The sequence below is a fragment of the Homo sapiens genome, chromosome 15 (genome assembly GCF_000001405.40).
Source record: "Homo sapiens chromosome 15, GRCh38.p14 Primary Assembly".
In the NCBI taxonomy this organism is placed as follows: Eukaryota; Metazoa; Chordata; class Mammalia; order Primates; family Hominidae; genus Homo; species Homo sapiens.
In genome coordinates this window covers 92,495,117-92,510,220 of record NC_000015.10, presented here as the reverse complement: position 1 = coordinate 92,510,220, position 15,104 = coordinate 92,495,117, and the positions used below count along the sequence as shown (strand labels likewise).

The following is a 15,104-nucleotide window of genomic DNA, read 5'->3' as shown; positions in this document are numbered from 1 at the left end:
CTGTGTAATGAAACCTTAATAAGAACTCAGGACAAAGGTCAGTGGAGTTTCCTGGTTGGTGTGCTGGAAGGGTGATGTGCCCTGACTCACAAGGAGAGGGCATAAGATCTCTGAGTTTGGGTCAGGGTCCGAGACCCACTCTATGCATATTTATTTTATTATAAATAAAACTATAATTGTAAGTATAATGCTTTTAGTGAGTTCTGTAAGTTATTATCACAAATTATTGAACCTGAGGGGGGCCACTGGGAATTCCCCAATTTATAATCACTTGATCAGAAGTGTATGTGGCATCTGAATGGAGGGTAGTCCAGTGGAGAACTTTGCCCTTGGCCTGTGGGGTTTTCACAGACTGGGTGGTTAGTGTCAGAAGTGTATTGCAGTACACCCAGTTGGGAGGAAACAGCACAGAGGTATATACCTAGGAGTGGAATTGCTGCCATGTTGTTTTCCAAAGTGATTGACCAATTCACACCCTGATCAGTGCAGTGTAAGTGTTCAGTTAGTTCCTCCTCACTCTTGACAAATGGTGGGCTTTCTAATTTATGCCAATCTGGTGACTTTCATGACTTTCTCACTGTAATTTTACTTTGAATTTCCCTTTTTCCTAAAGAGATCAAATATCTTTTCATATGTTGATTGCATTCAGGTTTCCTCTTTTATAAGGAGCTTATCGGTCTTCCTTATCTTTTTCTTAGATTGTCTTTTTCTTACTGATTACATATATATGATATTACTTTCTGTCTTTACTTTTCACTTTCATTTTGATGCCTTTTGAATACTTTTAATATAGTAGTAGTATTCATCTTTTTCTATGTGGTTTATGCTTTCTAGGTCTTGTTTAAGAAATAAATCCTTATCCTCAAAGTCTTAAATTTCTTTCTCTGTATTTTGTTCTTAAATTAAAATTTTGTTCTTCACACTTGTGTTTAATCTCTCTGGAATTAATTTTTCTGCATTATATAAGGTAAGGGGCCAATTTTGTTTGTTTCTATATAAATAACCAATTACTCTAGCACCACTTATTGATTAGTTCTTCTTTGCTACTGAAATGTTAGGTCTGTAATAAACCAATTTCTTGTATGTAAGAAAGTTTATTGATGGCTATTCTATTTCACTGGTCCATTTGCTCATTTTGTGCTAATACCATACTGACTTCATTGGCACCTGCTGAGATAAATTATTCAAATTCATTCTAATGTCTTAGTTATTTTTGGCCCTTTGTTCTTCCAAATATACATACTGGAATCAGCAAGGTCTATTAAAATAAAAACTTTGAAATTTATTTAGAATTTTATTTATTCTGAAGGTTAGTTTGGGGATAACTGACCATTATATGACATTAATCCTCTCAATCCATTAATACGGTATGGCTCTCTATTTATTCTTTAATAACTTTCAATATAGGTCTTGTACAATTTTTATTACATTTATTCTTAGATACTCTATATTGATATTTGTTGTTAAAATTATGTACTGTTATAAATTATATTACTCTGTCAGTAATGATCACTCAGAAAACCTCTTTGACACACAAGTAGAACTACAATAAACATCTCTGTGTATATTCCTTACAGACCTTCATAAGAGTATACTTGGGATCTATCCCTGGGAATGGAATTGTAGGCTCATGAGGAATACATATTCCTAATTTGATGAAGTAATCCCAAAGGTACTTCTGAACAGTTCTCACCAGCAGTATATGGGGTTTCTGTGTCTCCACTTCTCCAACACTTGACCCTAGAGGCATTCCTATTTTTTGCCAATCTAATAGGTGTAAAGGGATATCTCACTGTTATTTTAATTTGATTTTGATTCCTAATAAGTTTGAGCATCTCTTCATATACTTAATAGTTTTTTCTCTTGTAAAATGTTTTAAAATATTTTTGCTCACTTTTGGGTTTCTGTTTTTCTTCGTGATTTGCAGTAATTGTATAGTCTAGATATTATTTCCTTGTTGATTTTAGTCATTGCAAAGATCTTCTAATCTATTGTCCTACATTAAACAGACATCTTTCCTTTTGATGTAATTAATTTAATGCTTTTTGCCTTATAATTTATATTTTTGAAAATGTTTAAAAAATCCTTCCTTGCCTCTAATATGATCACAAAAATATTCTGAATTTTGTGAAATTAATTTTATATTTGTATTACCTGTCATATTTAGGCCTTTAATTCATTAGAAGTCCACCTTTGATTGCAGTTATAGGTTTAAATTCAGTTCTAATGACCTATTCTTTCTCAATTGATTCATGGTATCACCTTTGTCACATATTCAATTTCGATACACACACGTGCACATGCATGTATACATAGGTTTGGCTCAAACCTGTAGGTTTTACTCTCTATCTTCTTCCATTGGTCTGTTTATATATTCTTTCTCCACAATAAAAATGTTTCTATTAATATGTTAATATGGCTTTGTGTACTGTCTTACTGTCTGTTAGGAAAAGACCCTTTATTTTTTAAAGGTTTTTATGTTGATATGTGTTTTATTTCTTTTAAGTAAATATCCAGGAGTAGGACTTCTGGATTGCAAGCAAATGTATGTTTAACTTTATACAACACTGCCAGAGCTTTCTCCAAAGTTGCCATACCATTTTGCATTCCCACTAGCAGTGCGTGAGAGTTCCAGTTGCTCCATATCCTTTTCAGCACTTGATAATGTCAATTGTTTAAAGTCTAGCCATTGTAATGGGTGTGTAGTGTTTGTGACATGTATTTTCAATTCAATTATTATATTTTCCATTTCTAGAAGTTCTATTTATGCTTTTTTTAATCTGCTTAATTATTTTTAGATACACTTGCTTCTTACTTATCTCTCCTTTACTTTTTTCCCTTTAGATTTTATTCATTTATTTTTAATAGACTTTAGTTTTTAGAGCAGTTTTAGGTTCACAGCAAAATTGCACAGAGTTCCCATATTCCCCTTGCCCTCACACATGCACAGCCTCTCCATCATCAACATCCTACACCAGAGTAGTACAGTTGTTACAATCAACAAACCTACATTGGCACATCATTATCAGCCAAAGCCCATAGTTTACAAGAGTTCACTTTCAGTGTTGTACATTGTATGGGTTTTGAAAAGCATATAATAACATGTTTCTACTATTACAATACCACATAAAATAGTTTCACTGCCCTAAAGATCCTCTGTGGTCTGCCTATTCATCCCTCCCTCCTCTAACCCCTGGCAACAACTAATCATGTTACTCTCTCTATATTTTTGCCTTCTCCAGAATATCATACAGTTGGAATCATACCGTATGTAGCCTTTTTACTTTGGCTTCTTTCACTTAGTAATATACATTTAAGCCTCCTTTACTTTCAAAAGAACATATCAAACCTACTTTATATTCTGTGTCTGATAACTCAGTAGCTCCCATGTTCGCAGATTTCATTCTGCTGTCTATTTTTTGTCTGGCTTTGGTTCATGACTTCCTGTTGATTGTGAGCTCGTATTTCATGCAACTTTATCTGAAGAAATGTTTTGAGGGCTGTGTTGAAGATGACTTCCTTCAGATAGGGAAGCCATTGTTTGTTGTCAGGTGTCTGGGGGAACTACCAACCCAAGAGTATTTGAAACTGTCACCTGGAGGTTTTTAAAAATCAACCAGGTAGTTTGAATTCAGTCTATGCCTGCATGAGTATGACTCGAGATTACACACTCTCGAGGGAGATTTTTTTCTCCTCTACTCACCAGAAAGGTTTGACACAGACAATTTTCTTTGAAATTCTTGGAGAAGCAGGATTATTTCTAGATCATTTTTTTTTTTTTTTTTTGAGACAGAGTCTTGCTCTGTTGCCCAGGCTGGAGTGCAGTGGCGCAATCTGGGCTCACTGCAAGCTCCGCCTCCCGGGTTCAAGTAATTCTCCTGCCTCAGCCTCCCGAGTAGCTGGGACTACAGGCGCCCACCACCATGCCCGGCTAATTTTTTTTTTATATTTTTAGTAGAGATGGGGTTTCACCGTGTTAGCTAGGGTGGTCTCGATTTCCTGACCTCGTGATCCACCCGCCTCGGCCTCCCAAAGTGTTGGGATTACAGGCGTGAGCCACCGTGCCTGGCTCTAGATGACTTTTATGTGGCGGGTGTAGCGTTTAGTGTCCCAGCTTTTTGTTGGGGGTCTCCTGTCACACTTCTCATTTCAAAGGGGCCCTCAACTTCGCTTTGCTATTAGGAAATATGGGAAGGAAATCGGGTTGGGCAGGCAACTAACACTGTCTACTACAAAACACTATCTTAAATAAACATGTCATTAAGATAATGAATGTAAAAAGCAAGGACAAAGGAACAGGAACAAAATCCTTACAGGTTTACCTGAAGACATGGTGTGAGTTGACTCTAAGGCTTTACACATCTCTTTCTGCATTAAGATTCAGACAACGTTTTCTCATTCTGGAAATGTTCCTTGTGCTTTTGGCAGTATGCCTGTAGAGGTCAGCTAGCAAAGCATTTAATTCATCTCCTTTAAAAAACAAAACTATATATACACATAATAAATACATATATAAATGTATATGTTAATTTCTGCCATATTTCTAATAGTACACTAATAATATAGAATATACACTATATAATATATTGCATATATTTAATACATATAATGTATCATATATAGAATATATATACTACATATAATATATATTATAGATTATTAATGTCAACATAATTATATTATTATAAATATGAATATATTATATGACAATATTATATTAATACAGAATATATTAATATATTATATATTATATTTAACATTCATATTAGTATCGTAATATATCAATATACAACATATAACCATATATGCATAATATATAATATAGTATAATGTATAAGTTTCTCATTATATTTAATATATTACAATATAAAAACTATATTATAATTAGTGTTAATACTATATTATGATATATAGTATATCTATTATACTATTAGTGTACTGTTAGAAATATGGCAGAAATGAACACACTCCAACTCTGACGTGAACAAACATCCGGAGTGTCAGTTCTTGCCGGTACTGACAGAGATTGGGGGCTCTTTCACTATAACGATGCTCTGTAAGCATTCTTGGCTTCTTTCTTCTTGCTGCCTGATGAATTCATTAGGATAAATTACTGGAAGCAAAATCACAGGAGGAAATGCATGCTGATTTAAAATTTGGAGAGGTATTACCTAATTTTTATTCAGGTACTCTCTCACTAGCAGAGTGTGAGAGTTCTTTTTCCCTCATACCCTAGCCAACACTGGATATCATAAAAAAAAAATCTCTTGCACAGTCTCTAGTAATCTTGTAAGAGTTCTTATAAGTTAGTTCTAACTCTCATCTATAAATATCCATTCAAATTCAATGTTCAAACATCTACTGGGCCAGTTTTTCTTCTCTCAAATGTTTTCTCTACTCTCTTCAATTTTGAAAGATGGTGTTTGGGTATAGTGAAGAAGCTATGTGATTTCATGGCAAAGTGCCTGGTTAATGGAGGGGCGCTTTTGCCCCTGGATTCTTGTTGACTTTCCTGCCGAAAGTCTTTGTCCTGCCTGCTCCATGGGCACCCTACTGGCATCTGCTACTTACTTTTGCCGAAGGTGGGATTTAGTTCTTCCCCTACCTGCGCTGGCTAGGCTCCATCTAGGTTATTGTTGCAGATCTTGAGCCTTTGGTCACATTTTCCTTCTGGTCCCTGGATTAGGCCTTCCTTCCTGCAATGTTGGCCTTCCCCGGGCTCACCTTGCCCCTTCCAACTATCGTCTCACTTTGGACCTGCTGACAGTCATCCTGCACTCCCCAGTGGTAAGTGAGTGTGAGGGTTCTGGTGGCTTTCTCACTGGGTAAATATCTACAAAGTGTCCCAACCTATATACACTCAGGCTAGGTAGATAAACTGGCCAGCACAGATATCCATCACTCCAAAATTTCTTCTGTGAATATATATCTATGGAAGGGTTGGAATTAGGGGAACCTTCTCTCTCCTCTCTTCATGTTTCCAAGGGGTGGGACCTCCATTAAAGTTACACTCCAGCTTTTCTCTAATGCCTCACTTAATCCTCTGAACTAGAGGGGTTTGGAGAAGAAGGTGGGCCTGTGAAGCTCTGCAGCTCCTCCTCCCTGGGATCTGCAGTCTGCTTTGGGGTTCCCTGCTGTGAGTTTTTCAAGAACAGGCCGTGGCACTGTTGAGGGAGCCTGTGTTTGTTCGATGTTGCCTGTGGCTGGGTAGGCAAGGTAGTCGGTTGTGAGGTTCTGTATTGGGAAGTCCATAGTATTCCTTCCTCTCTCTCTCCCTCATATATTTGTTTAATTCCCTATGGGTGATCATTAAGTTGTTTCCACGTTTTACTGTTAAAACATGCTGCTTTGTAAACATTCTTGTACATATTTTTTTCCTGCTTCTCTGATAAACTCGTTAGGATGAATTACTAGAAGGAGAATTGCAGGGTCAAATGTAAGCTAATTTTAAATTTGGAGAGGTATTATCTAATTTTTCTTCAGTTATTCTCTGATCAGTGCAGTGTGGGAGTTCCTCTTCCTCCATACCCAGCCAACACTGCTTATAATTAATGTTTTTTAAAAAAATCTTTGCTCATCTGCTAGCTGAAATATTGTTTTAATTTCCATTCGTTTTATTACTAGTGAGGTTGAACATCTCTTTAAATTTGTTTTTCTTCTTTAATTTCCTTTTGCATGTTCTTTGCAAATTTTTCCATTAGGGTGGTTTTTCCTTCTCCTTTGATTTGTGCAAGCTATTTTTACGTTAGGGACCTCAATCCTTTGTTGGTGGCAGATTAGTGTAGTGGTGGAAAGCTTGGGTTTTCCAGATGTGATTTTGGACTGAGTTACTTAAACTCTGTCTTCGCTTTTTCATCTCTAAGTTAATGCATATTTCATCAATATGAAATTTCGCTGCTTTCCTCTCACCACCACCCCCAACCCCATCTCAACTATGCCCCTCCAGAGAGATCTGGAAGAGGCAGTATTGGTAGCAGCCTAGAGAAATGGGAGGCTTATGTAACAGCAACTTACTCAGAGAGCAGGAATCATAAGAGAAGAACTTGACCACTTGACCATGTTTTGGAGGACAGATGTAAAGACAGAAGGTTGAGAGCAGCTGCTCCACTCTGTGGGATGGGGGGAAGATGGATGGATGAAACATTTTTTTTTTCCCTAAGGAATTTTTGTTTTCTGGATAATGTAATCTTCCATTTGCAGACTCTGACCCATCCCTTTGCCCCTTAGAAACTGTTTATTAAATACAGTTGTTTTTTCTGAACTTTGATTCATAACTGTATTTCTTTAGTATCTACCTCTGTGTGGCACCAGATTTAAAGAAGCAAGAAGGCCCACTGGATTGGGCTATTCAACTCGGCACATGAGACGGATGAGACTCATGAGATTCAAGCTGCAAATATTTCCCCCAGTCTGTTATCAGTCTTAAGTGTATGGCATTGTGCTATTTAGGAAAAAATTGTTTTAGCTTTAAATATTTAAAAACAATGTTTATTATGCTTGTGTCAGGATGCATTTGTCTGTAGGTAACAGAAGGCAACACGGAGGGGTTTAACCGATAACCAAGTGTGTCGTCTCATTTAAAAGGAACTCTAGCGGTCAGGGGCCTCAGACAAAGGACTCAGATCTTTCCATCTTTCTGCTTCATCTTTTGGAGCATTGGTGACATCTTAAGGCTGATTCTTCTTGTGGCTGCCTGCCAGTAACAGTCAGGGCTCCATTCCCCCTTGCTCATGTTTGGGGGAAGTAGAATGAGGGAGAGGAAGTCTAGCTTGTCTTGTGGCTCTCTTTTAAGAGAAGAAAGTTTTCTTCCAAAAAACTCCCATCAAACATCTCACCATGTCTCAGACGGTGTCGGCATCTTATCTCTGAAGCCGTCATTGGACAAAAGGAGGGGATTTCTGCATTTGGCTTGAACCAGGGGCTCTCAAAATGGAGTCTGTAGACCAGCAGCAACAGCCCCATTTTGAAATGAAAATTCTCAGGTCCCCACCCCAGACCTGCTGAATCAGAAACACTAAGAATGAGAAACTTCTGGTGGTTCTGATGCCTGCTCAAGTTTGAGACTCTCTGGCTCAGAACCCACTGCTGGAGCTGAGTGAGTTTATATCTCTTGAATCACACCGGCTGCTAAAGGAAGAGATGGACAGCTAAACACAGCTGAGGTTCTGCAGGGAGGAGGGGAGAAATGCACACTTTGTTGGGAGGTACCAACAATGTCTGCTATGTAGGATAAATGATCCCTAAGTTAAAGGCCAGATGACATTTTAATCCTAATTTATGTTTCTTTCAACTTTTATTTTAGAATTGAGGGTAGATGTGCAGGTTTGTTATAGTACATAGATATATTGTGTGATGCTGAGGTTTGGAGTACAAATGATTTTGTCACCCAGGTAGTGAGCATGGTACCCAATAGGTAGTTTTAAAATTCTCACCCTCTTCACACCCTCCAACCTCAAGTAAGCACTGGGGTCTGGTGTTCCCCTCTTTGTGTCTATGCATACTCAACATTGAGTTCCCACTTGTAAGTAAGAACATGTATTTGGTTTTCTGTTCCCGTGTTAATTCACTTAGCATGATGGCCTCCAGCACCATCTGTGTTGCTGCACAGGACAGGATCTCATTCTTTTTTATGGATGTGTAGTATTCCGTGGTGTATATGTACCACATTTTCTTTATCCAGTCCACTGTGGGTGGACATCTAGGTTGATTCCATGTCTTTGCTATTGTGAAAAGTGCTGCAATGAACATATTCATGCACATTTCATTATGGTAAAAAGACGTATTTATATATTTTTGAGTATATGCCCGGTAATGGGATTGCTGGGTCAAAGGGTTGTTCTGTTTTAAGTTCTCTGAGAATCTCCAAACTGCTTTTCACAGTGGTTGAACTAATTTACACTCTCACCAGCAGTGTATAAGTATTTGAAGGTCCATTTTCTATTTTGATAGCTATTTGCAAATTGTCCCCCAGTGGAGTGGCACTGCTTTACACTCCTACCAAGAATGTATGAGAATTCCTGTTTTCCCACAACCCATACCTCATCAACCCTGGGTGTTACTACACTTCTAGATCTTTGCTCAACTGATAAGCAAAACTATTATTGCTTTAATATGCATTTATTCATTTCTTATCATTTAAATTGGCTTTTACTCATTTGTGAGGAAAGTTGGGCAATTTTTCACATTTTATTATGCTTAAAATTCATTTTTATGTATTTTTGTAGAGACTGGCCACAGAGATATTTATATTTATGTTGTTTCCTTGAAGGCTTCTGGCTTCAGCATCATGCAAAGAAAAGCCTTCTCAACTTTGAGGTTTTAAAGTGATGCTCCAATAGAAAAAAGATTAAATAAAGCATTTCTGGAGTGATAAAGAAGGTCAAGCCCGTTCCATTTGCAAGCATTTGGCTTGTTCAGAACTTTTCAGGAATGCGTGTCTTGGGTGTAGAGTGGCATAAGTGTATTTCTTTCCCATCTGGATGCCTGGTTAAAATGGTTGTTCCCCCTTCCATTGAACAATTACGAACAGCTCCAATCTCAGCTTCTGGTGAAGGCTGGAGCTCCCGATCTGAAGGGCGAGGTCGGGGCTCTGGTGGGAGCCCCTGCAGGATGCCCCCCTCTTCCTGATGTTGTTTGCCACCCATTCCTAGGGCCTCGTCGATCCTCTGTAGGTAGCTTCCAAATACCAGCTCCTCTGGGTCTTGTTAAAATCCTTTATCAATGCCCATCTTTCTCAGCAGGGGTGACCTTTAACTCAGCTTTGCTGTCACTACCTGACTTGGATAACCTCCAAAGGAAGGTTGCCATGGCGATCCAGCATTCAGCTCAAGCAAATCTGGTTTCTGTATCTTATTAAATGTTCCCTAAAAAGGAAATCACACCGAGATACGGAAGACGAGGTCATTAGCATGGAGCCATAATGTTCTGTCACCCTCTCCCCCTCCCCAATTACCAGCCTGTCCTCTACCATGAGTTGAGTCATTGCCCCTCTTCTCCTTTTCCTAATCTCAGTTGTCATGGTGAGTGCTTAAATTTTAGGGGGTGGGAGGGGGTATGGTTATGGCAAATGTCAATCTGCCTTTCAAAAGACGTTTTTATAGCTCAAATCTAACACCACTGGCAAATGTCAGAAGTGGGTGCATAATGAGGTCGTGTTAGAGAGGCCGATTGGATGGATGGATATGCTTTTCTTCTTTTTATTGTGGCATTTTCTCTCTTTTCCTGGGGACGCTGTTTTCACCATGACTCTCATTAAATTGAGAGATAATCTCCTTTAAACTACAAGCTCAGTGCTCCTTGCTCTGGGAGAGCAGCTGGAATGTACAATTGCTGCTGGTGGCTTTCAGAAGGTTATTTTGTATTCACTCCGTGATTAAAAGAAGAGAGGAGAAGGCAGGCAATATGGGCACCCGCAGAGTTTGTGGGAGGGTGGACCCGGCTTTCAGTCCTTTGGTGACGGTCAGCCTGGTGAAAGGGATGATCGGGTATCAGGGAGGATAAAGCCACTATTGGAAAGGTTAGGGGCTGCGGTCAGTCCTTGGGCACGTCAGTGGCCTTGGCCTCTAGAGGCAGAGCCCCACATCTGCTCCGGGTGGAGGGGAGGCCTGACCTTCTGGCCAGTGCACAGAGAAGTGGAGGGTGCAGGGGAGGCAGAGGAGGAGGGGGCTTTGCTGGGTGGGGGCCTTACCTCCTTCTGGAAGGTGGTCCCCACTGTATTTGTCTGCTGGGGCTGCCTTAATAACATTGCAGTCTGAGAGCCACAACAATGGGAATTTATTGTCTCTCAGTTCTGGAGACTGCAAGTCTGGGATCACGGTATCAGCAGGGTTGGTTCCTTCTGGGGCCCCTCTCTCCCTGGCTTGTAGGAGGCCGTCTTCTCCCTGTGTCCCACATGGGCTTTCCCGGGCATGCCCATGTCCTTATCTCCTTTCTTTTTTTTGAGATGGAGTCTCGCTCTGTTGCCCAGGCTGGAGTACAGTGGCACGATTTCAGCTCACTGCAACCTCTGCCTCCCAGGTTCAAGTGATTCTCCTGCTTCAGCCTCCCGAGTAGCTGGGACTACAGGTGCCCGCCACCACACCTGGCTAATTTTTGTATTTTTTAGCAGAGACAGGGTTTCACCATATTGGCCAGGCTGGTCTTGAACTCCTGACCTTGTGATCTGCCTGCCTCAGCCTCCCAAAGTGCTGGGATTACAGGCGTGACCCACTGCACCTGGCCTCCTAACCTCCTTTCTTACAAAGTCACCAGTCAGATTGGATTAGGGGCTACTCTAATGGCTTCATTTTTACCTTAACCATCTCTTTAAAGACTCAGTCTCCAAATACAGTTCTATTCTGATATATTGTGGGGTAGGAGTTAGGGTTAGGTTAGAGTTTTGGTGGGACACAATTCTGCCTGTAATTCTTAACTGCTTCTGCCCAGCCCTCTGTTCTGGGCCACTCTTGGCCCCATGCTGTATTTGAGGGGAATAGCCAGAAGTCTGTTCTGCAAGCATGCTTCAGCATTGTGCAAAACCAAACAGTGTCTGGGACTTCACATTTACGAGATGTCGGCTGCTGTCTTGACGGAATGCCAATAACATTTGATGTTCAACTAATACAATAATCTGCTGTTAAAAATATAATAAAATATAATATTCTAATAAAATAATAAAAGTTGTCAGTTAGATCACTTGTTATAGTATCTCCTAGCCCTCTGTTCTTCTCTTCTGCTGACTCCCCAGACCCATAATACAGTGCTTGTAGAATGATTAGGTTATTGTTCCACTTGATTAGAAGCTTCATCCAGGCAACATCCAGGCCTGTTTTTCTCACCCTGTATTTGGATCCCCTTTCACAGGGCCTGGTACATAGTGGGTGCTCAAAGGTACGTGGTGGATCAATGGAGTGATATGCATTCTTATTTTTTCCTCTAGGAGGGAATGAATGACCACTTGCATCAGACACTTTTTTGACAAGTCAGTGTCCAGCTTCCACACATATCTGGAAGATACCCACAAGCACCAAAGGGGCCTTCAGTTGAGGGGGAGTCCATCTCATCCAGCAGTCTGCTCTGACCCCAGAGCTAAACACTGGTTCTTCCCTTTTTTCATTTCTAGTTTAAAAAGTTTCATTTCATGTTATTTTTTAATTGGAAAATAATAAGTGTACATATTCATGGGGTGTCGTTACTGTACCCCACGTATTGAAATAATGATATTTCAGTACACATAATGTACAGTGGGTGATCAGATCAGGGTAATCAGCTTATCCATCATCTGAAACATTTACCATTTGTCTGTGTTGGGAACGTTTGCTATCCTCCTTCTAGCTATTTGAACCTATGTAGTATATTATTGTTAGCTCTCATCATCCTGCAGTGGTACAGAGCCCTTGGACCTACTCCTTCTACCTAGCTGTAATGTTGTTTCCTTCCCCCAGTTTTCTAAAGGACCAGCACAAACACTGATCTGTTTACAAAACCTCACCAAGGTTTGAAGAAATTACACAAAAGAAAATGAGACCTTAAAACTGGCACTGGGGTTTCCTTTCCATCAAAGCCCATCTCTGCTGTGGGCCCACAGCGCTTCTCACCTGCCATCATCCTCATAGCAGTCTTTTGCCTGAGTCCAAGTTATGAGGTCTTGCCCTCCACAACTGAGTCAGTTTTGTGTTCTCATGCCCTCACCCCCACTCCCACACACCTCACCCCTATTCTAGAGCCCCCGAGCCCCTGTGGGCTTGTCTGGGCCAGGTTGGAGCTAGCAAAAATCAGCTAGCCTCAAAATCCTTTTTGGAGAGACGTCCCTGACCCTGTGGGAGTGACCGCCTTTGCCTTGATTATACCCCGAGGTCCCTGTCCCCATACAGCATGCACATCTAGTTGCCCATCAGGCTCAGCATGCCTGCCTCAGGACACCTGCATGGGGGCTTAGTCCTTGCCCTGTAAGAGAACCACCAGAGTGGCCTCTACCCACCGCAAGGGAGGGAGCCTGCCCCCAAGGAAAACCACAGCATCTCCCCCAGAGCCTCTGGAAAGAAATTCCCTGGTCTTTGGCTTCACGTACTGGAGCGTCAGAAATACCGCGTTCGGTGCCAGAGATGCCTGTATTGTAGCTCTCCTTATCCATAGCCTGGGACCAAGGTGACACTCTGAGACATTAGCGGACAGTGACTTGGCAAAGGGTGGTAACATTGCTCAGTGAGGAGTGGCTGGCACAGGAATGGCATCAGTCTCTGATGCTCATCTGGGTGACCCAGCACACGTGCTGAGAAGCCCACTGATAGGCTAAGTGGAGTAGGGAGAAAGAGAGGGTTCCAGAGTCAGCCCCAGGTGGTCAGTACACTTCCCATCCCCTTCCCTTCACTCCACAAACCTGGGATAAAATCAGCGCTGCTGGGTCAGGCCAGAAAGACAGGGCTTCCCCGGGGACGGGGGCAGTGGAAGCCCATGCCTCTCCCTCCCCTAGGCTTGCCTGCTTGGAAAGAGGGCTGAGGAACTGGGCTGAGGTGAAGCTGGTACCTGTGGTGATGGAACAGGCTGAATTGTCCACGTCACTCTTTCTCACTGTGTGCTAGGCACTACACTAGGGATTCCACACGAATGTTTCCATCCAGGTCTTATGGGCACCTGTGAGTTTACAAATAGATCAACGGGAGCTTCTGTGAGGCCCAGATCACACTGCCAGATTGAATCATGGCTAGAATTTGAACCCAGATCTCCTGACTCCAAACCTCACGTCTCGATGACTCCCACTTCTTTACCACTCTCTCTCCTAGTAGGCAGAGTCCTGGGGAGATGGTGCTCCTGTGTGGTTTTGAAAAGCTCATACCTGAGAGGTGATGACTGAAAAAATATTTTAGAAGTCTTTATATCATCAGTAGCAGCAAACTCAACTCTCTGAGTCGCTGGAAGGACCCTAGAATTCTCGGGGCTCCCCTCCTGAGTACATGGTAAAAAGAGCTTGCAGCTGTAAGGATGGCAAGCTCCTTAGGAGCTCAGCACAGAAATGGCCGGGAGCTCTGGGGAAGGCCAGCCCTGCCTGCATGGGGAGGGTATTCTTTCCAAAAGTACCTGCTCTTCCTCCAGGTCACCTGCTGCTTTCTAAGGAAGGATCCTGTGCTGTCCCCACCATGACCATGGGCTTCCCTGTCTCCAGCCCTCTCAAGCTCGGCTCACCTTCCAAAGAAGGTGGACAACAGATCACACCACCTTGGGCTGCTGCAAGGTGGTCACTGGGAGACTGGTGTCATGTTTTTAAAAGGCGTTAACTGTGTTTGTCCCTTGATAATTCCTGTCTTTGCCTCCCATACACCACCATGATTATCCTGCATCCCACAGCAGCAAAAAATCATATCCAACAAAACAAAACCAATGAGTGGGGAAGCCTGACTGAGCCTCTGCCTGAGTCACCACTGGTGACTGTGTTTCAGGAAAGGGCAAGAATCCCAGGCAAGCATCAAGAGTGGAACCTGGAATCTGGGTGAGACAACAGCCAGCCCCACCCCAAACCCCAGAAGAGCAGAGTAAGAACCTTCCATCAAGGCACAGAAGCAGGGGAGAGCAGCCTGCAGGGCATAAAGGAATGGAATGAAGGGGGTGTTGGTAAATGTCTAAGTTGACAGCTGACATCAAGGACCAGATGGTGCCCCTGCACTGGCACCACGTAAGTCTCAAAGTTTAGGTGCAGTCACTGGGAGGCGAGAGAATCCTGCATTGACCGAGGAAGACTTTTTCTAGCCCTGTGGAGATGGCCCCAAATAGAAATAAACTGGAGTTATGGAAAGAGGAGGCAAGTCTTATTACCCACACACAGAACTGGGGACTATGATTCATGTCAGCCACACATGTTAAAAGATTTAAAGGCCCTTTCTTCAGGCAGGAGAATGCTGGGCTTGTTTGCAGAATGGATGTGGGAAAGAGGGGAGGGGCCAGTTCCGAATCTGGAAGTGTGTATATTGGGGTCGGGGGCGATGAAAACAGGCTTACAGGGGGCAAGGGCAGAGTGGGGGTGGGGAGGAATCATGTGGCAGGACGACATTGTTTGGCCTCTTTTCCCAAGGAAGGGAGTGAGGAGGCAGGGATGAATGTCTGAGCATAGAGTAAGTTTTCCAGGACATGGG

The 15,104-nt window shown here is 41.9% G+C and overlaps 1 long non-coding RNA gene across 2 annotated transcripts in view; it reads right to left on the bottom strand.

The window, feature by feature from the left end:
• C15orf32 (chromosome 15 putative open reading frame 32) overlaps positions 9,104-15,104 on the bottom strand; it is a 29,441-nt gene continuing 23,440 nt past the window's right edge. For both annotated transcript variants that reach the window (NR_161371.1, NR_161370.1), the window contains exon 3: positions 9,104-9,863. This is a non-coding gene — a long non-coding RNA (chromosome 15 putative open reading frame 32). The remainder of the gene's footprint in view (positions 9,864-15,104) is intronic.